Source organism: Homo sapiens, chromosome 2 (genome assembly GCF_000001405.40).
Source record: "Homo sapiens chromosome 2, GRCh38.p14 Primary Assembly".
Taxonomy (NCBI): domain Eukaryota; kingdom Metazoa; phylum Chordata; class Mammalia; order Primates; family Hominidae; genus Homo; species Homo sapiens.
This window is the reverse complement of record NC_000002.12, coordinates 238,421,295-238,440,468: the sequence shown is the minus strand read 5'-3', so window position 1 is coordinate 238,440,468 and position 19,174 is coordinate 238,421,295. Positions and strand designations below refer to the sequence as shown.

Below are 19,174 nucleotides of genomic sequence, written 5' to 3'. Positions count from 1 at the left end.
AGGGGAACTGGGTTTCTCACTGGTGAAAGGAGAATAGTAAACGCGAAAGGCAGAAAACTAGGATGAACCTTGTGGCATGAGCCTGGATTAAAGGTAGCCAGGTGAACTCCTGTCCATGTATATAAAGAAATATAAACAGAAATGTGGAATGTACATACAACCTTAGCTTGGTCCAATAGGAGGGCATGAAAACAGTGATACCCCAAAAGCAATAGGCACTCCTAGTGTCCAAATATAGGGTTCTGCACACCATTCTTCACTAAAAGAAACCAGGACTCCTAGGAGAAATGACTTATTCCAGGACTGAGGCAGTCAAAGTGCAAGATGAGCCGAGAATATCTTGTTACAGGAGAAAGTGAGGAGCTGCTCACAGAATGACTAAGGTCATGTTAAAAGGACAGAGATGGCTTGAAGCAGCTCTCAGTAGACAAACTGAGACAATACGAATATCAAAATAAGTAACAATAATAATGAATTATAACTCATTGGATAATATCAGAAACCATGAGTCTATACTAACAAATTAATAAATGAACAAATTAAAAATCTGAGATGAACAGGACATATACATGGTTGTAAAGCACCTCTCCTCAAAATACTACTTACAGAGAGAAAAGGAATAGCTTTACGGGAGCGAAACATGGCAGGCACCACCTTAATCAAATAACGGAAGTGAGTATCGGCAGTAATGGACACACTGCGATCACACGCAGCCTGATAAGAGGGGAATGCGAACACAACCTCCCTTTGCGATTCCTGCCCAAAACGCATGACATGACTCTAATCTGAGTCAACATTAGAGTTGGCACCTGTTTTCTTGAGCTTTCATCAGCCCACACAGTCCCACAATGTCTCACAAGATTCGTCACCACCAAAGTATTTCATTTGTAATAGGAAAGGACAATATGTGGGGAGCAGCGATGACGGGACCAGAACACGCAGGGTGCAGGGAGGACAGAACTGCGTCACCTTCCATGCCGCAATCACAGCGCTCGCCAACAGGTAAGGCCAGCAGCCACGCTTTCTAACCGTCTCCTCAGCACCATCCTGAGTGTCCAGAGAAACGCTCCCCTGGAACCAAAACTGCTGCTTTCAGGAAGCACAGGCCTGAGGACCAGCACACGGACCAACACGCTCACATGACAACGAGGCTTCCACTACAAACACAAACACCACCCACTCTCCAACCAACACACTCACATGACAATGAAGCTTCCACTACAAACACAAACACCACCCACTCTCAAAGACATTCTAGGAGTGACAGGGGAAGTATTCTAAAACACACAGAGCCAACAAGAAATTGATATTTCATTTCATACACCCAACCAATTAAGCAAAGGAAAACTAGATCTCAAGCAGTGATGGTTTTTTTCTGCTTATTCTTAGGGAAAATCTTCCAAAACGTTTGTAATTTTGGGCAATATGACAATCTGGTATTAGCTGAGCTGTGGGAAAGATAGCCCTTCATCCACTCATAAAAATATACTGGATGAGATCCAGTTAATTTTAATCCTGAATATTTTCCAAATTCCTCTATTGCTTTTAATATCACTGGCAAGGAAGCACTGGGAGAACTCAATAAATCAATATAACTTTTGCACATACAGAAATACCACTCTGTACCTTTTTTCTAAAATATGGGCAATACATATCAAGTGAATTTACAAATAACAAAATGGAGGTGACTTACAGAGGGACAGAAAATTGCAACAGTGAAAGATGAGAGCCCTAAGGGGGAACTGGCACAGGGAAGGCAGAAGCTAAGTTATTTCCAGAAAACATCACTGTTCAGTAACTTAACCGTATCACTCTACTATCCAAGTGTCAATTATCTTAGAATTTAGAATATAGAAAACTTTTTAATAGAATAATATATGTTCTTGGTACCACCTTGTGAAAGTAATGTCCCGTGCTCCAGTGAGGGAGTAAGATGTCTTAGTAACGTTTTCGCAAGAAGGGCATCTGTGGCCGGGCGCGGTGGCTCACGCCCGTAATCCCAGCACTTTGGGAGGCCGAGGCGGGCGGATCACAAGGTCAGGAGATCAAGACCATCCTGGCTAACATGGTGAAACCCTGTCTCAACTAAAAATACAAAAAAAATAGCCGGGCATGGTGGTGGGTGCCTGTAGTCCCAGCTACTTGGGAGGCTGAGGCAGGAGAATGGTGTGAACCCTGGAGGCGGAGATTGCAGTGAACCGAGATAGCGCCACTGCACTCCAGCCTGGACGACAGGGTGAGACTCCGTCTCAAAAAAAAAAAAAAAAAATGAAGGGCATCTGTATATGTACTTCTCGGGCAGCCTGCAGGTAACTCAAAGCAGTTGTGCATCATGAATTGACTGAAATACCCAAAGGGCTTTCTGGAACCAACATGGAATTTCACTGATTGATCCTACTCAAAAGCATTTCCAAATTAATAGCTTACATTCTCCAAGGTGCAAAGACAAGGGACTGAAGTAGCTTAGATAATCAGGTTAGAAATCCTTAAAAAGAGGGAAAAAGCCTTGCAGCTTTATCACCCTCTAACATAACAACCTTACCACTCTCATTTCTTTAGCCTCCCAAAAGCCAATTGTGTAGCTATTTAATTTATAAAACCCTTCAACAGGAAAAACATATTCTCAGTACCTAATTTAAAGACCATATTCTGTGCTGGGTAAAGGGAATCCCAGGTCCCTGCTCATCAGAGCCACCCTGGCTGCAGCCTATAACAACAGAACCCTTACCTAATCCTTTTCAATACAGAAAAATTTCCCTGAGAACCAGCTACCTAAACTGCACCCTGTCCAAATGCAGAGCAATTTGGTCTCCAGAGTAAAAGAGGGAAAAAAGCATCTTTGCTGGAAAGAAGTCACTAGAAACATGAAAAATAAAAACAATCTGGTTGAAAAAGAAAAAAAAAAAGGCAACCGTTAGTATGATTAAAATAAGACTGTAGGCCAGGCACTGTGGCTCACGCCTGTAATACCAGCACTTTGGGAGGCCGAGGCGGGCGGATCACGAGGTCAGAAGATCGAGACCATCCTGGCTGACATGGTGAAACCCCATCTCTACCAAAAATACAAAAATTAGCTGGCCATGGTGGTGGGCACCTGTAGTCCCAGCTACTCAGGAGGCTAAGGAAGGAGAACTGCTTGAACCCAGGAGGCGGAGGTTGCAGTGAGCCAAGATCGCGCCACTGCACTCCAGCCTGGGCAACACTGCAAGACTCTGTCTCAAAAAAAATAAAATAAAATAAGACTGTAAACCTAGTATAATGGAAGAGGAAAGAAAAAAACAACATATAAGAAGAAAAGATATCAAATGGAAACAGTTACAAAACAGAAAGATAACAGAAACAGACCCCAACATCAGCTATAGCAATAATGTTCACTGTATTAAAAAGCAAAAACTCCTAGACAAATGGTTCTACACAAGCACAAACAGAACTACTGAAACTCCCTAGGGTTAAAACTAAATATTACATAATGCCATGTAAATGGGCCTTAAATAAAACTAATAGTACTCTTGTTTTGATAGAGCATAATATGTAAGCAGGAACTTTTATGAGTTCAATTAGCATCAAAATTTTCAAAGCAAAACCTATTCAAAGTACAAGGGGAAAAAATGGCAAAATCAAAAATGTGATCAGAGACTAACAGAATTCTTTAAATTTCTGGCAGATCCAATGACAAAAATGTAAAAAAAAAAAAGAGAGAGAGAGTGCTAACCTAACAAAGTATAATATGTAAACAAAACACCCATGGTCATGTACTTGTTTCAAGCATTCACAACAATGTAGTCTGACATTAAAAAATAAGAAGAAGCCAGCATTGTGGTGCACACCTGTAGTGTCAGCTACTAAGGAGGCTAAGGCAGGAGGGTCACTTGAGCCCAGGAGTTTGAGGCTGCAGTGAGCTATGATCACGCCACAGCACTCAAGCCTGGGCAACAAAGTAAGACCCCACCTCAAAAACTAAACAAAAATAATAATAATAATAATTTTTTTACGTCAAAGAATCCCCAAAATGAAAACTATCTGGTCCATATTATCTGAGCATAATACAACAAAAAGCATTATTAAAACCTTATCTTCCATAACTCTAAGAACAAAGAGGAAATCAACTTCAATTAGAGCTATTTAAATAATAAGGAAAAAGCCTAGAGAGGATGGTCAAAACTATAGTAAAAGGTAAATTAACGTTGCAAGTTTGCATTCTTAAGAAAAAATGAATAAGCAGTCAACTCAAAAGGGAAAAAAAACTAAAAATTAGAAAAAGATAAAAGTAAATATAAAGGAACAGGTAAGCCAAAAAACAAAGAGACCTGATAAAGCCAAGAGGCAGCTCTTTACAAAGGCCAGCAAAACAGGCGAGTCATCTAAAGAGCCGAATTCTAAAGACAGAAAAACTGCAAAATACAGAGAAGAAAAATAAAGTGGCTGCAGGAGCCAGGCGAGCTCCACAGTACTGGCCTGATGAGGGCCTTCAGGATGTCTGCCCGGCCCACGCGAGAGGCGTGGTAGACAGGGGTGCTGCGATGGTGCCGGCTTCCGTTGGGGTCCGCGCCAGCTTCGAGAAGGATCTGGGTACTCTCTAGGTGCCCGTTCACCACAGCCACATACAGGGCCGTCTGTCCTTTTACGTCCACCAGATCCACCTCGGCCCCCTTCCGGATGAGGAAGTCCACACAGCTCCCATGGCCTGCAGTGGCCGCGATTCGCAACGGTGTGCAGGGGAGCCAGCCACAGCACCAGACAGACTTCTCGTTGATGCGGCTGCAGGAGGAACACAAGGGGGCTCATGAGAGGCAGCCGCAGGACAGGGACGGGCTGCACTGCCCCCCTCACCCTGGCAGCATGGACACGGTCCCCCTCTGGTTAATAACGCCTCCACCTGGGCTCTGCCTTCTGAAATGCTCTCACACCTTTCCCCTGCGGGACCGGGGCATGGCAGGGCAGGCATTACGAGCCCCATTCCAGAGACAGGAAACTCAAGGCACCTGCAGAATGATCAGCACCAAAACTAAGATCTCTAGTTCTTAGATTTCCTGACTGCCATCTGAAGTGCCTTCCTCTACAAAGGTGGGAAGGGTCTGCCTGGGAGGCAGTGCCAAATGAACAGCGCACTCGCCCGGGAGTCTGGGTAAGAGCCCCTAGGCTGCTCTTCCCCAGTTACCATCTGTGAAGGCTTGAGGCTGGGCCTCTCTAGGCCTCAGCATCCTCACCAGGACTAGGTGACTATGTAGGCCCCCAACCTCTAACACTGCACAAATGATGGCCTGAAGGAATCACTAAGGTGGCACGGGGGCTACACCCCTGGCCAAGAGCGGCAGAGGAACCTGTCCAGACTCAGCTCTCGGCAGATGTCACAATCAGACTGCAACTGCCTGCCCCACCCACCGACCCAGCAAGGCAGCGACCGCAACGGGTTCACAGCGAGCTCCCAGTGTCACTGAGAACAAAGCTCAGAGGCCCAGAGCACCAAACCAGGGCCCAGGAACATGCAGGGGAAGCAGCTCCCAAGCCAGCCCTCGGGGCTCCTCCGCCAGCTGCGCCTAGGCTCTGACTGCCCAGGAAAGTCGAGGAACACTCCAGGAACTCATCACCAAAGAAGCAAATAGCAATGGGAAAATGTAAAGAACCAGAGATGCCCTGAGCCTGAGTAAAAGAAGGAGGAGAAACAGTGCTGGGAAATGCAATATAGAAAGACTTGGGCTGAGACCTCACCGAACTCTATTTCATTCTGTTACATCTGCAAGTTGAATTAAGGTTTTCTTTGGGCTTGAGTCACCCACTTTAAATATCTGTGCGTAATCCATCTGTCTTCCTATGACAGTCCTTTCTGGTATTTTTCTTTTAAATACTGATATCTGTTTTGATGAAATACTGCTAAGACACTAGAAGGAAATGAAGAAATACATTCCTGTACTGTTAGAAATCCTTTTCTTGGGAACTATGCAAAGAAAAGTTGTGGCATTAGTTTCGGCGCCAACATGTAGGCATTGCTTCTACCACCGCACTGGCATTTGGGTCCTGAAGGGAACGCGGAAACACAACAGCAGCATGGATAGTTCCTGGCTGCTACTGAGTTTAAGCTCTAGCTGGGACTGCAACCTTAGACCCGCAGAACAATCAGAGAACAGTCCAGAGAGCAAGCAGACTCTGCTCCCCCAGGTGTCCTGAGCAGGGAGAGGGAAGGGCAAGCATCACTTGCTGCGAAGGAAGGGCTGGAGCCATTTTGTGGGGACAGGCAGAGTTTGGCAAGGCCAGGACAGGGGACCACTGATGAGGGGAACAGAAAGGAGAAGGCTGATGAGGTAAAAGGGCCTAAGGCTGAGGCCCAGGTCCCGGGGGCAGATGACTGAGGGCCTGAGAAGCTAGAGGAAAGGGCACTAGGGAAGGTGGTGAAGCAGGGTGAATGTACAGAAGCGCCTGCAATTAAGAGCCACGAGAAACCCAAGATGGGGCAGGGCCGCCACTGAAGAGGGAAACAGTGGTACCTTCAGGAGTGACATCAGGAGGCTGAGGCCCACAGAAGGCCAGAAGTTGCCAGAAAACACTAAGGTTAATGGCAGAGCAGGACCTGAACTCAGGTCTCCCTGCCCACACTGTCTGGCTGTCTCCTACAACTCTGACCATGCTGCCTCAGTCTCCTTTATCCCCGTCCTCTAAAACTGGAACACATTCCTCCCAACATCAAGGTCTTCATCTGCACAGCGACTGTGGGGCTCAGCTTCACACAGACCTTCAGGGCCCTAGTACCCGGACCAGCCCTGGGCAGCGCCGCTCACCTCCGGTAGCTCTCCTCTTGCAATAGGCTCCTGAGGGTCTGGAGGTCCCCGACGTAAGCTGCATCATGGAGCCTCGTGTCCTCACAGTGCTCCAGCGGATGATCACAAAATTGCTCCCTCAGCCACTCCTTCAGATTACGACCTGCACTGAAGAGAGGGGCTCCTGTTAGCTCATGGAGGCCCTGCCAAGACTAACCAAAAGGGGGTGCCATCTGCAGCGAGCCTTCCCTCTCCCAGCTACGGGGCACCTTCAAATGCTCAAGAAATAAATCACAAGCTGGGCATGGTGGCACGCCTGTAATCCCAGCTACTCAGGAGGCTGAGGCAGGATCACTTGAGGCCAGGAGTTCAAGATCAGCCTGGGCAACACAGCAATACCCTGTCTGTAAAAACAAAAGAAATAAATCACAGAAAATAGTAGAAACCTTCCCTTATTAAATTAGCACACTCCTGACACCAACGCTGACAAGAATAATTTTTTAAAAGTTGATGGGGCCCAGGAACTATAAGCCAAACCTACTGAAGAATAAAGAAACAAGATCCTAAAGAAAATATCAGCAGATTGAATCAATATTGTGTCAAAGAATCCACTGATAAGGCAAACCTGAAGAATACGGATGCAAGATCCTAAAGAAAAAATTAGCAGATTGAGCCAGGTGAGGTGGCTCACGCCTGTAATCCCAGAACTTTGAGAGGCCGAGGCGGGCAGATCACGAGGTCAAGAGATCAAAACCATCCTGGCCAACATGGTGAAACCCCATCTCTACTGAAAATACAAAAAATTAGCTGGGCGTGGTGCCGCGCACCTGTAGTCCCAGCTACTCAGGAGGCTGAGGCAGGAGAATTGCTTGGACCCAGAGGCAGATGTTGCAGTAAGCCAAGATCGCGCCACTGCACTCCAGAGCCTGGCGACTGAGTGAGACTCGGTCTCAAAAAAAAAAAGAAAAAGAAAAAAGAAAATATCAGCAGATTGAATCAATATTGTATCAAAGAATCTAGCAAATATCTTAGTACTGGTATTTGGGAATATCTTAATACTGGGCAACTATGAAGGAGAACATAGTCATCTCCTTCACTACAAAAAAGACATACGGCAAAATCCAACGGCTGAGCAAATGCTGCTATCTGCTACACGGGTGACTCCCTCCCACGCTGCCCTGGGCAACGGCCACAGGGAGGCCTGCCTAAGAAACTCCTCAGACAGGTGCACTTGACCATAGAGAAGTCCCACCTCAATAAAAACGAAGGTTAAAAACACATGTACATAAATATAAATCCAGCCCATTTAATGAAGACTATAAAACTCAAAAACAACACAAAAGAACAGAATAAGCAGAAAAAACACCAAGTACTTGGATTAAAAGATTCAATAATCAAGGAATTTTAAATAAAGCGTGACCCATTTCTTTGGGATTTTGTTATCAGATGTCACAAAAAATATTCTAAAGTTTATTTTAAAATATAAGGGAGAAGAACTTTTTTGGTTTTTAGTAAGTGTACAGAGAAAAGACCTACCCTACTAGGTAACAGAACACTCATCAGAATAAAAAAGAAAATCAAACCATCAGCTGCCCAGAAAGATCTCAGTATAAACAACCTAATACCGGCAGCCTTCATTTCACTGCATTTCACTTTATCAAGCTTCACACGTAATTGTGTTTTTTTACAAACTGAAGGTTTGTGGCAACCCTGTGCTGAGCAAGTCTTTTGGAGCTATTTGTCCAACAGGATGTGTCCATTTTGTGTCTTCTGGGTCACAATCTGGTAATTCTTGCAATATTTCAAACTTTTTCATTATTATTTTATCTGTTATGGTGATGAATGATTTGTGATGTTACTATTGTAATTGTTTTGGGGTGCCACAAACTGTGCCATATGAGACAATGAACTTAATCCATCAACGTGGTCTGTGTTCTGACTGCTCCACCAACCAGCTGCTCCCACTCTCTCCTCAGGCCTCCCTGTTCCCCAGACACAATATTGAAATTAGGCTAATTAATAACCCTACAACAGCTTCTGAGTGTTCAAGTTAAAGAAACAGTCACACATCTCTCACTTTAAATTAAAAGCTGGAAATGATTAATTTTAATGAGAAAGGCATGTGGAAAGCTGGGAAGGTTCAAAGATAGGCCTCTTGTGCCAAACAGCCAAGTTGTGAATGCAAAGGAAAAAGAGCTTGAGGGAAATTAAAAGTGCTACCCCTGTAAACACACAATTGATAAGAAAGCAAAACAGCCTTATTGCTGATATAGAGGAAATCTGAGTAGTCTGGAGATACGATCAAACCAGCCACAACATTCCCTTAGGCCAAAGCCTAATCCAGAGCAAGGCCCTAACTCTCTCCAATTCTATGAAGCCTGAGAGAGCTGAGGAAGGTGCAGAAGCAAAGAGTGAAGGTAGCAGAGGTTGGTTCACGAGGTTTAAAGAAGCCATCTCCATCACACAAAAGTACAAAGTGAAGCAGCAAGTGCTGCTGTGGATGCTGCAGCAAGTTATCCAGAAGACACGGCTAAGATAATTGATGAAGGTGGCTATACTAAACAACAGATTTTCAATGTAGAAGAAACAGCCTTCTATTGGAAAAAAAGATGCCATCTAGGACTTTCATAGCTAGAGAGGAGAAGGCAATGCCTAGCGTCAAAGCTTTAAAGGACAAGCTGACTCTCGTTAGGGGCTAACGCAGCTGGTGACTTTAAGTGGAAGTCAGTGTTCATTCACCATTCCAAAACTCCTGCCTGCGCACTATAAATGGATCAACAAAGCCCAGGTGGCAGCACATCTGTTCACAGCATGGTTAGTGAATATTTTCAGCCCAATGTTGAGACTTACTGCTCACAAGATTCCTTTCAAAATACTACTGCTCGCTGACAATATGCCTAGTCACCGAAGAGCTCTCATGGAGATGTACAAGATTCATGCTGTTTTCATGCCTGCGAACACAGCCATTCCGCAGCCAATGGATCAAGGAGTCATTCTGACTTTCACGTGTTATCATCATTTAATACATTTTGTCAGGCTATCGCTGCCATAGGTAGTGGTTCCTCTCATGGATCTGCGCAAAAATGAACTGAAAGCCTTCTGGAAAGGATTCACCAATCTAGATGTCATTTAGAACATTTGTGATTCATGGGAGGTCAAAATATCAAAAGGAGTTTGAAAGAAGTTAATTCCAACCCACATGGATGACTTTGAGGGGCTCAAGACTTAAATGGAGGAAGTAACTGCAGATGCAGTGGAAATCACAAGAGAACTAGAATTACAGCCTGAAGATGTGACTGAACTGCTGCAATCGCATGATCAAACTTGAATGGATGAGCAAAGAAAGCAGTTTCTTGAGATGAAATCCACTCCTGGTGAAGATGCTGTGGACACTGTCATAATGACAACAAAGGATTTAGAAGGCCACATACACTTAGTTGATTAAGCAGCAGCAGGGTTAGAGAGGACTGATTCCAATTTTTAAAGAAGCGCTACTGTGGGTAAAATGCCATCAAACAACGTCTCATGCTACAGAGAAATCTCATCAAAGGAAGAGCCAGACGATATGGCAAACTTCACTGTCATCTAAGAATTACCATAGCCCCCGATAAGTCAGGAGCCATCAATACTGGAGCAAGACCCTCCACCAGCAAAAAGATTGTGACTCACTGAGAGCTCAGATGATGGTTAGCATTTTTCAGCAATAAAGTATTTTTAAATTAAAACGTGTACATTTTTAGACATAATGGTATTATTGTACTTGGTTTTTTTTTTTTTTTGAGACGGAGTCTCACTCTGTGGCCCAGGCTGGAGTGCAGTGGCGTGATCTCGGCTCACTGCAAGATCCGCCTCCCGGGTTCACGCCATTCTCCTGCCTCAGCCTCCCAAGTAGCTGGGACTACAGGTACCCGCCACCACACCTGGCTAATTTTTTGTGTGTGTATTTTTAGTAGAGAAGGGGTTTCACCATGTTAGCCAGGATGATCTTGATCTCCTGACCTCGTGATCTGCCTGCCTCGGCCTCCCAAAGTGCTGGGATTACAGCCATGAACCACTGGCGCCTGGCCTATTACACTCTTAATAGATCATAGTATCATGTAAACATAACTTATATATGCACTGGGAAACCAAAAATTTCATGTGACTTGGTTTACTGCAGTATTCACTTTATTACAGTGTTCTGGAACTGAACACACACTATCCCCAAGGTATGCCTGAATGTGATAAACCGGCATCACAATCAGCGAGAATGGAAAAGAGTATTCAACAAACAGCATTTGTACAATCAGATACTTATTAGGAAATAATTGAGTTATTCACCTCACATCATAACCCAAAATAAACTCCTGAAGATTTAAGAGTTTTGTAAAAATAGTTACACAGATTCGTGTGTAAGTAAAGAGCAAAAACTCAGACCACTTGGATTCAAGTCCCTGCTCTGCCATGCTGTCCTAGTGTGAGACCAGACAGGCAGGTATAAAGCACCCCCTCCATAAGGGGGCTCTTTCCAGATGCTGACATTGTTTTTTATATTAAAATTAATCTCTTTTCAGTACTACTGTACATGAGACTCAACCACAGGTGAAACGGGGGTGATGAGTAAGTGTCCCGGCTCTGCAGGGTTTGACAGTCCACTGAGTTGCTCATGCTGATCCCACAACCAGACTCGCCGCAGATCAACAAGCCGGCATGAACAGCTCTTTAAGCCACCACCCCAGTCTTCCTTCAGTAACTATCCTCCCCTGTAATTACTCCACAGTTGCGGTTACTACAGAGTGAAAAAGTTCAAAGTCGGAGTGGGAAAGATTCAGGTGTAGGGCAATAACCAACAGGTAAATGGCGGCCACAGGACTTTTGCTGAGCCCTCTTCTGGGCCCCCTCTGCTGGCCTCTGTGCTATCCATTCCTGGCCCTGCTCAAAGTAGACTCAGAATCTTTCCCCAGCTCCAGATTCAAAAGCAACTTCAAGTTTGTGTTTCGCTGATCAACTACTCCAATGACAACACAACTGCCCCAGGATAGCACTTAAGCTTCAACTGAAAATCTGTTGCCCCTCTACCCGAGGCCGAAACACACTGAATAACAAAACAGCAGTGCATGAGGATATAAAAAGGAGCCCTCAGCTGAGTGTGGTGGCTGCCGCCTGTAATCCCAGCACTTTGGGAGGCAGAGGCGGGCAGATCACCTGAGGTCTAGAGTTCGCTATCAGCCTGGCCAATATGCCAATATGGTGAAGCCCCGTCTCTACTAAAATACAAAAATTAGCCGGGCATGATGCCAGCACCTGTAATCCCAGCTACTAGGGAGGCTGAGGCCAGAGCATCGCTTGAACCCCCGAGGCGGAGGCTGCAGTGGGCCGAGATCACGCCACTGCACTCCACCCTGGGCAACAAGAGCGAAACTCCGTCTCAAAAAAAAAGGAGACCTGTGCAGCCGACAAAGCCAGTGTTTATTCCCCAGGAACTCTCTTTATACTGGGAAGTAGCTGTTGGTCCTCTTTTTCCCACGGAACACGCATCATTCCGTCTCTCACTCTCACATGAGATGACATCCTAGACCCTAAGGTCCTGGCTGTCTCTGAAGTCAAAGTCAACGCCAACCAAAGCCCAGGATGGTAGATGCTTTGTCTGGCTTTTTCTGGTCACTGCAGTATCCTCTGCTGGGTCTAGCCAACAGCAGGTCTTCAATACAAGTCTGTTAAATGATTGGAAGGAGGTGCAGAGGGAGGGATGGATGGAAAAGCCTATCTGCACCAGTCTCCAAGTCAATCTTTTAAGATGTTTAAGAAATGTATTGGTTTATTACTAAGTAGGAGAGGAACCCCTCCAAAGACAAATATAGGCATGTAAAGAAAGCCCAGAACACACGAAACTATTGGCGCGAATGGCAAGCTCAGAAATCCAGCAAGAAGGAACTCCCACCACACCACCGGGAAACGGGAACCTGTCCTGACCGCTTCCTTCACATCTGCATGGTAGGGACACTGCAAGGTGGAGACCCTAAGTAGGACAGTTATTTTGGAAGGTGGGTGTGAGCCTTTCTATCTGCCTCCCTTGCTGGTGGGCCAAAGGCCCCTGGACATGTTGTGTCACTGACGAGCTCGCTGGAGACGGCGTCCCCGTTGTCCCTGGTCTGTGCCTGTGGTGGGTGGGAAGGCTGCCCCCCGCTGTACCACCGGACACGCCGTGGGCGGCAGAATGGTGAAAAAGTGCCTGCCCTCCCTAGGGCTACCCTCTGGCTGGCTTTCCTGATCCGTGCGCTCAGAGCTGGAAGGTGGCCCACGTCCTACTTTTGCGGTTGGGTCATATCAAATCTGTATCGGCTAACGGGAAGGAAGTTACGAGCAAGTTCCACCGGAAAGAAAATCTAGCGCGGGGACTGCACTCGAGGCCGAGGAGAGGGCAGCGCGTCCGTGGTGGGGTCGCCCAGCACTGCGAGCCGCGCTGAACCCCACCCCCGGCCTGCAGGGTGCGGCTCCCTGGCTGCCCCGTGGACCCGGCCAGCCCGGGACGAGGACGCAGGACCTCGGCAGGGACGCCGGAGCCAGCCCTTCGCCATCCCCACACGCCCCGCGGCCCAGTGGCCGCGCGCACGTTACCTGCGGAGCCCGGCCCTGCCCGCCCGTCTGGGCTGCCGCCCTCCGCCATGGATGCTTCCGCCTCCGCGGCCGCCCCTGACCCGCGCACGCCCCTCGGGCAGGAAGCAGAACGACCCGCGACCACTTCCGGCGCCGAGGGCAATGGGGGGCGCGTCGGGGTCGCGGCTTCCGGCGGGCGCGCGCCGGCCTCACTGGTTTCCGGGGCCGCGCAGGGGCCACGCCTCCGCTTCCGGCCTCGCTGTCTAGCAGGGCGCTGGCTGGTCCCTTCGTCCGGCGGGAACTTCGCGGCTAACCGACTCTCTGGATGCCGGCCGCGCTGTGGTTTCCTCACATAAGAAGCCAAGGAGTCGGAAAGCCCGTTGCCTGAGGCAGCAGTCTGGGAATTTCGGTCCGGCGGGCCGTCCCCACCCACACGGACGGGGCGTGGCTTCTGCCAGATGTGGGCGGGGCCCCGAGGGCCGTGGCGGGCGGGACCCGGGCCTCGGCCGGGCTGGCTTGGTCCCCGCAGGTGCCCCCCGCTAGCCACGAGCAGCCCCGGGAGGGTGGATTCGGAGGCGCGGGGACTGGTGAGGGCCCACTGCAGGGCTGAGCGTCGCAGCGTGCTGTGGTTTTAGATGAATGCTCCTCCAAATCCCTTCCATGAAGCCCTCAATCAGGTCGGTAACTGATGACAGCCAGTGGCTGACGCGAAGTTCATTGAATAAATGAATGCATTCGTGAACAACCGAGTAACATTTCTTGCACACTCCCAACTTCAAATATCGCAGCGTCGTCCCACCATGAGTATTGGTGTTGGTCCTAAAGCACGGATTCCCTTGGCTCCTCCCATTCTCCCCTGCTGAGTTAGACAGCGGGGCCTCATGCAGGAGGAGGATTTGTACACAGCACAGCAGGAGGCTGATGAGGGAGTCCGGAGACCCCAGCAGTCGTGGGCGTGAGCTGCTGGCTCATCCGTGTGTACAACATTCCAGACTGGAGTAAGGGAAGCCGCAGGCGCAGCCCCGCGAGTGCCCCTGCTGAGGCTGGCCCTGGGTGGCCCAGATGCACCAGGGGGCCCACTGGGGGCAGACCTGGCAGGCCCTGTGGGGGTTGGAGGCGGGAGTGGGGGTACTTCCTACAGTGGTGTTTGGTCTTGATGACAGCAGAGAGCACCACTGGCATGAGGGACAGGTGACTCCGATGATGACGCTGCCAGGCCAGGAGCCAGGGGTGTGCCCAGCCCCTGGCTCCACCACAGCTGCACATCCCGAACTCGGAGCTTCAGCAACTCCGAAGCCTGAAGCCGCCTCACGTGTTGTTGGATGGATGAATGGATAAACGAAATGCCGTCCATCCATACAATGGAATCGTACTCAGCCTTAGAAAGGAAATGCTGTCCGTCCATACAATGGATTCGTACTCAGCCTTAGAAAGGAAGGGAATCCTGACACACGTCACAACACGGATGACCTTGAAGACGTTATGCTGAGTGAGATAAGCCAGCCACAAAAAGACAAATACAGTACTGTGTGATTCCAATTATTTGAGGTCCCTGGAGCAGTGAAATGGTGGAGCGGAATGGGGGTTGCCAAGGGCTGGGGGAGTGGGGAATGAGGAGTTAGTTTTTCATGGGGACAGAGCTTCAGTTGAGGAAGATGAAAAAGTTTTGGAGACGGGTCACACAGCAATGTGAATTGTGCATTAACAGTACTGAACTGCGCATTTAAAGCAGGTTAAGTTTTATGTTCTATATATTTTACCACAATTGTTTTAAAGAATTTTTTAAAAGAGGTTCCGGTGCAGTCAGTCAGGGGTGCGGGTTGGGTGTTGGGTGGTTCAGAGCACCCAGGTGATTCTAAAGTGCAGCCTGGTGAGAGCCACGTCTCCGGGGGCCTCCGCTGCTCTGCCTGCCTGGTCCCGGTGGGCTCACAGTGAGCGTTCTGCGTGTCGGTAGCCTTTGCATCAAGGTATTGAGTCCCTGAGCAGAGTGGCCCTCCTGCACCTGCACCTCCACCTTCCCTGCCACGTGTTGCCCTTGGGATCCTGCCTCTTAGAAGAACCTGAGGCCGCACGTGGTCTGTAGCGGGGAGGTGGCCTCACATGCCCACCTCCGTGCCTCCTAAATGCCCACATGGTGCAGGGCAGTGTCCACAGAGCCAGCAGTGCTGGAGGGGGAAGGACACTCAATTGCTGGCCACTCTGCCAATACCATCACCCCCATTTCTCAGGACCCTGAGATCTGGGGGCCTGGTGCTATGCCCAAAACCACATAGCCCACAGGTGGCTGAGTTGGGATCACATCCAGACTGTCCAGCCCTACAGCCTGTCTCCCCCTCTGACCTCACCTCTCCAGAGTCCCTCTTCTTCCAGGTCCTCTGAGCCCAAAAGACCCACCAACACAGGGACACTCAGTGACCGCTAGAGATGAAGCAACTTGGGTCCCATCACCTACAAGCAACAGGGATTTACCAGTGCCTACCAGTGCCATCCCAGCCCAGCACAGCAGCAACAGGACCAGTGCAGTGGGCTGTCTTGCCCCTCCAGGTCCCAGTGGCTCCCTCCCGTTTTCCCACCCCTAAAATCACCCGTCGCTTCCTGTTGCCTCCTGGAGGCTCAGGCCTCCCCCAAAGTGTCCCCAGTGACCCCTCTGTGGAGCCTAGCCCAGTCTTTGTGGTGGAAAATTTGGCAGTCTAGCTAAAGCATAAGAATGAATAATCCTTGATCAGAAATGCCTCTTCCAGGCATTCATTCTAGGGAAATAATCAGATGTGGGGGAGATTCAGCTACAGTAGTGCTCATTACCATCATTTTATAACAAAAATGTCCAACAATGGACTTTCTGGTTCAGGAGGTCTGAGAAGGGGCCCCCATCCCTCATCCTTCCTGTTGCAGGGAACTGGGGGCCCCTCTGGAAGCATGGCAGGTATATGGGGGGCTGGAAACATGAGCTCCACAGCTGCAGGCTGGTGAGGATCCTGCTGGGCCTGGGTGTGCTGGTGCTGCTGTCGCTTAACCCCCACAGCTGTCTCCGGGAATTGGGCAGCAGATGTCACCCAGGCAGGGACCAGAAATGGGAATCTCTCCTGATCCTAGGCCCTGTGGGCCTGTGTTTGGGGTGTCTCCTCCCAGGAGGCCCAGCCCTCTCTTCCCCTTTGAAGGATCTCCTGCTTTGAAGGAAGCAGGGGATCTGAAGGTTTACCAGGTGAGGCCACGAGATGAGGGCAGCCCGCTGACCCTCCAGGCTTTGCCCTGGAAACATCTTTACCAGCCCCTGCCCCGCAGACCCTGTCTCAGGCCTTGGAGCCCACCTGCAGAGAGTCAGGGTGTCTGCCCCAAGCTAGGGAGGCAGATCCACATCCTTCCAGCTGAGTCACCAGGACAGGGTGACTCCTCTGAGCACCAGCTGCCTCCCTGTCAAATCGGGCTGATAATACCCACTTTGCAGGCTTTGTAAAGACACAAAATCCCATAGAATGTGCCACAGGCTTCCTGGGGCAGAGAGAGCCTCAGGACACAGTGGGCATCGGTGCCATGGCTGCTAACGCTATGGCATGGCTTTGCTGAGTGGAGCCACGCCCACCTCCAGCCTCCCACCCCACCCCACCCTGTCCTAAACTGAGCCCACCTTCTCTGCCCAGCTTGGAACAGAGCAGGGCTCAGGGGTAGACGCAGTGTCCCAGCAGGCCCTCAGCTTGGGGCTGGTGGGGCTGGGCAGGGCCCAGGCCGTGATGTTCCTTGCAGCCCTCGAAGCCTCCCTCTTCCAGCCAGGTCGGCCTCTGCCTGGATGTGGTTTAGCCTGGCAGTGGAGGTCCCAGGGAGGACCGGGAAGCCCAGCTGTGGGGACTGCAGAGGACAGTGTGGGCCCTGGGAGTCCTGCCAAGGGGGTGCCCTCTTTCAGCCCCCCTCACAGGTGCTGTGCTGCCTCCCTTGGTGTGACCGAGAACTCCACTAGTGTCAGGAGGCCACAGCGCTCAGTGAGCCCCTGCATCCTCTACCAGGGCCTGCGTCTCTCCAGGCAGCACCTGTGGAAGGCAACTACCATGTGCTGGTCACTGCCACAGCGGGAGGAGTCAGAGGTGAGGAAATCTCAGTCCCAGAGCAGGGACTGGCAGCAGAGACAGGAGGTTTTTAGAGACTCTTCGGCCACAGCGGGACCAACAGCCCAGCTTGCCCAGCACTGAGTGGGCCTCAGAACACAGAGCTGCCAGTTTTCAAAGCAGGGTGAGTGGAGACCCTATCCCAGCCCTCAGCTCCGCTCCCCGCCTGTCCTGCGGCAGTGCTGGAGTCTTTGGGCTGGCCTCACCATGCCCTCCTTACCGCCAGGTGAACTTTTCCTGCCATACCAGTTGGTCTCTGTCACTCGGGCTCACAGACTCCTTCACGGTCCCGAATGCCCATCTATAGGCTCTTGGAGGAGCCTGGGCATCTGAGGCCCTTCCCGAGAAGAGCCCCAACCTCCCTCCCCTCCTCCAGCTCCCAAGCGCCCTGCCTAGAACCTGACCCTCCAGGGCCAGCACTCTCTCCCTGGGGTCTGCGCACGAGGCTCCCTCCCTCCCATACCCCTGTCCTGGGGACCTCTCCCCCTCACCAGATGCCTCCCCCACCGCACCCCCGCTTTCCGCCCCGCAGCTGGGGCCTTGGCTCCAGGTCCTCCCAGCAGCATTTATCTCCTCACCTGACTGCAGCTGCCGGAGGAGCTGGCCTATCTCTCCTGGCAGACAGTTAGGTTCCACGAAAGTGGCTTCTGGTGGGACGGGTATTTTGATTCTGTCACAGGAGCTGGCCCAGGCCTTGTTCCTGAACCAATGGATAAAGGCATTCATGCTCTGAAATTGACAAACTGCCACACCAGGGCAGCGGGGTTCTAGGGTTCAGGGGCGAGCAAAGCTGGACACCATCCCAAGGAACCTATAGAGCAGCATGGGGGCATTGAATGGCAGCCTCCAAAACAGAGATGTCCACGGTCTCAGCTCCGGAACCGTGAATGGGACCTTATTTGGAAAAAGGGTCTTTGCAGATGCGATTAAGGATCTCAAGATGAGATCGTCCTGGATTTAGGGCAGGCCCTAATCCAATGGCAGCTGCCTTTACAAGAGAAAGGCAAAGGCGGATTGGAGAGAGAGAAGACAGCGTGAAGACGGGGGTGGAGAGTGCAGCGACGTGGCCACAAGCCGAGGAACACCTGGGGCCCCCAGAAGCTGGCAGAGGCAACAAGGACCCTCCCCTAGAACGTGGGGGTCGGGGGAGCGCAGCCCTGCCTGCACCTGGGCTTCACACGGGTCTGTGGTGAACTGTTTCCGAAGCTTCAGGGCTCATACATCCAGTAAGGAAACTGGAATTACAGTCGCTCCCTGCGGCGAGGACCCAGCAGGAGAGCCCGGGCTGAGAGCGGGAAGGCGTCTCCAGGAGCCACACCGAGGGTAAGAAGACTTCACTCCCCTTAGCCCTGTTACTCAAAAGCACTGCTTTGCTAACAGTTTCTTTTTCAGGAACTTTTTCATGTTTGGAATGTATTTTCCCCTAGGTTATCAGCAGAAAACACACGCCTGAATGGGCGTGTCGGTGGAGCTGAGCCTGTCGCCTCATCCAGTGCCACGGAGGAGCCCTCGCGGTGTCTCCCTGCAGAGGTCACACTGGGGTCACAACTGAGGCTGCCTTGGGCAAGGGCCAACCGCAAGGCTGTTTCTGAAACCATAAAGTACCAAGAGAATGCCCTGTGTTACAATTAATAAATAGCATTGTTAATCGACGTGAACAAAGCCGGCCTTCATTGCTTTATTTGGTGGCCCATTTGGTGAAGCACTTAAGAAGAGTCCTGGCCAACATACACACATCATGGTTTTAAT

At 50.0% G+C, this 19,174-nt stretch overlaps 1 protein-coding gene and 1 long non-coding RNA gene across 3 annotated transcripts in view, besides 10 other annotated features; one reads left to right on the top strand and one right to left on the bottom strand.

Annotated features, from left to right (window-relative positions):
* Positions 1–33: part of an enhancer, noted in NCBI's record as "H3K4me1 hESC enhancer chr2:239349077-239349578 (GRCh37/hg19 assembly coordinates)", that runs on past the window's edge. NCBI's record gives its function as "activates a minimal SCP1, AML or CMV promoter by ChIP-STARR-seq in naive H9 embryonic stem cells {active_cell/tissue: H9 hESC(naive)}" and the evidence as "EXISTENCE:reporter gene assay evidence [ECO:0000049][PMID:30033119]".
* Positions 1–13,542, bottom strand: part of ASB1 (ankyrin repeat and SOCS box containing 1) — a 25,324-nt gene extending 11,782 nt beyond the window's left edge. Inside the window, exons 1-3 of one of the 2 annotated variants that reach the window (NM_001040445.3) lie at positions 13,350–13,542; positions 6,774–6,915; positions 4,456–4,758 (exon numbers count right to left, since the gene is read on the bottom strand). In NM_001040445.3, coding sequence (NP_001035535.1) covers positions 4,456–4,758; positions 6,774–6,915; positions 13,350–13,398 — 494 coding nt within the window. In that variant the 5' untranslated portion in view covers positions 13,399–13,542. The remainder of the gene's footprint in view (positions 1–4,455; positions 4,759–6,773; positions 6,916–13,349) is intronic. The other variant, NM_001330196.2, reaches the window with a different exon arrangement.
* Positions 246–1,445: an enhancer, noted in NCBI's record as "P300/CBP strongly-dependent group 1 enhancer chr2:239347665-239348864 (GRCh37/hg19 assembly coordinates)". NCBI's record gives its function as "activates an origin of replication core promoter dependent on BRD2, BRD4, P300/CBP, MED14 and CDK7 cofactors, with strong dependence on P300/CBP, by STARR-seq in HCT116 cells {active_cell/tissue: HCT116}" and the evidence as "EXISTENCE:reporter gene assay evidence [ECO:0000049][PMID:35650434]".
* Positions 12,794–12,913: an enhancer, noted in NCBI's record as "active region_17383". NCBI's record gives its function as "activates an Ori minimal core promoter by ATAC-STARR-seq in GM12878 lymphoblastoid cells {active_cell/tissue: GM12878}" and the evidence as "EXISTENCE:reporter gene assay evidence [ECO:0000049][PMID:35858748]".
* Positions 13,164–13,683: a silencer, noted in NCBI's record as "silent region_12498". NCBI's record gives its function as "represses an Ori minimal core promoter by ATAC-STARR-seq in GM12878 lymphoblastoid cells {active_cell/tissue: GM12878}" and the evidence as "EXISTENCE:reporter gene assay evidence [ECO:0000049][PMID:35858748]".
* On the top strand, positions 13,575–19,083 carry LOC124908002 (uncharacterized). The gene is made up of 2 exons (XR_007088163.1): positions 13,575–18,748; positions 18,853–19,083. It is a non-coding gene; the product is annotated as an uncharacterized LOC124908002 (long non-coding RNA).
* Positions 13,704–14,093: a silencer, noted in NCBI's record as "silent region_12497". NCBI's record gives its function as "represses an Ori minimal core promoter by ATAC-STARR-seq in GM12878 lymphoblastoid cells {active_cell/tissue: GM12878}" and the evidence as "EXISTENCE:reporter gene assay evidence [ECO:0000049][PMID:35858748]".
* Positions 14,426–14,961: an enhancer, noted in NCBI's record as "H3K27ac-H3K4me1 hESC enhancer chr2:239334149-239334684 (GRCh37/hg19 assembly coordinates)". NCBI's record gives its function as "activates a minimal SCP1, AML or CMV promoter by ChIP-STARR-seq in naive H9 embryonic stem cells {active_cell/tissue: H9 hESC(naive)}" and the evidence as "EXISTENCE:reporter gene assay evidence [ECO:0000049][PMID:30033119]".
* Positions 17,686–18,318: a transcriptional cis regulatory region, noted in NCBI's record as "candidate enhancer chr2.7266 targeted for multiplex CRISPR interference". NCBI's record gives its function as "positively regulates ASB1 gene expression with high confidence in K562 cells {active_cell/tissue: K562}" and the evidence as "EXISTENCE:mutant phenotype evidence [ECO:0000015][PMID:30612741]".
* Positions 17,686–19,174: a biological region, named in NCBI's record as "H3K27ac-H3K4me1 hESC enhancer GRCh37_chr2:239330367-239331026". NCBI's record gives its function as "regulatory_interactions: ASB1".
* Positions 18,084–18,743: an enhancer, noted in NCBI's record as "H3K27ac-H3K4me1 hESC enhancer chr2:239330367-239331026 (GRCh37/hg19 assembly coordinates)". NCBI's record gives its function as "activates a minimal SCP1, AML or CMV promoter by ChIP-STARR-seq in primed H9 embryonic stem cells {active_cell/tissue: H9 hESC(primed)}" and the evidence as "EXISTENCE:reporter gene assay evidence [ECO:0000049][PMID:30033119]".
* Positions 18,489–19,174: a transcriptional cis regulatory region, noted in NCBI's record as "candidate enhancer chr2.7265 targeted for multiplex CRISPR interference". NCBI's record gives its function as "positively regulates ASB1 gene expression with high confidence in K562 cells {active_cell/tissue: K562}" and the evidence as "EXISTENCE:mutant phenotype evidence [ECO:0000015][PMID:30612741]".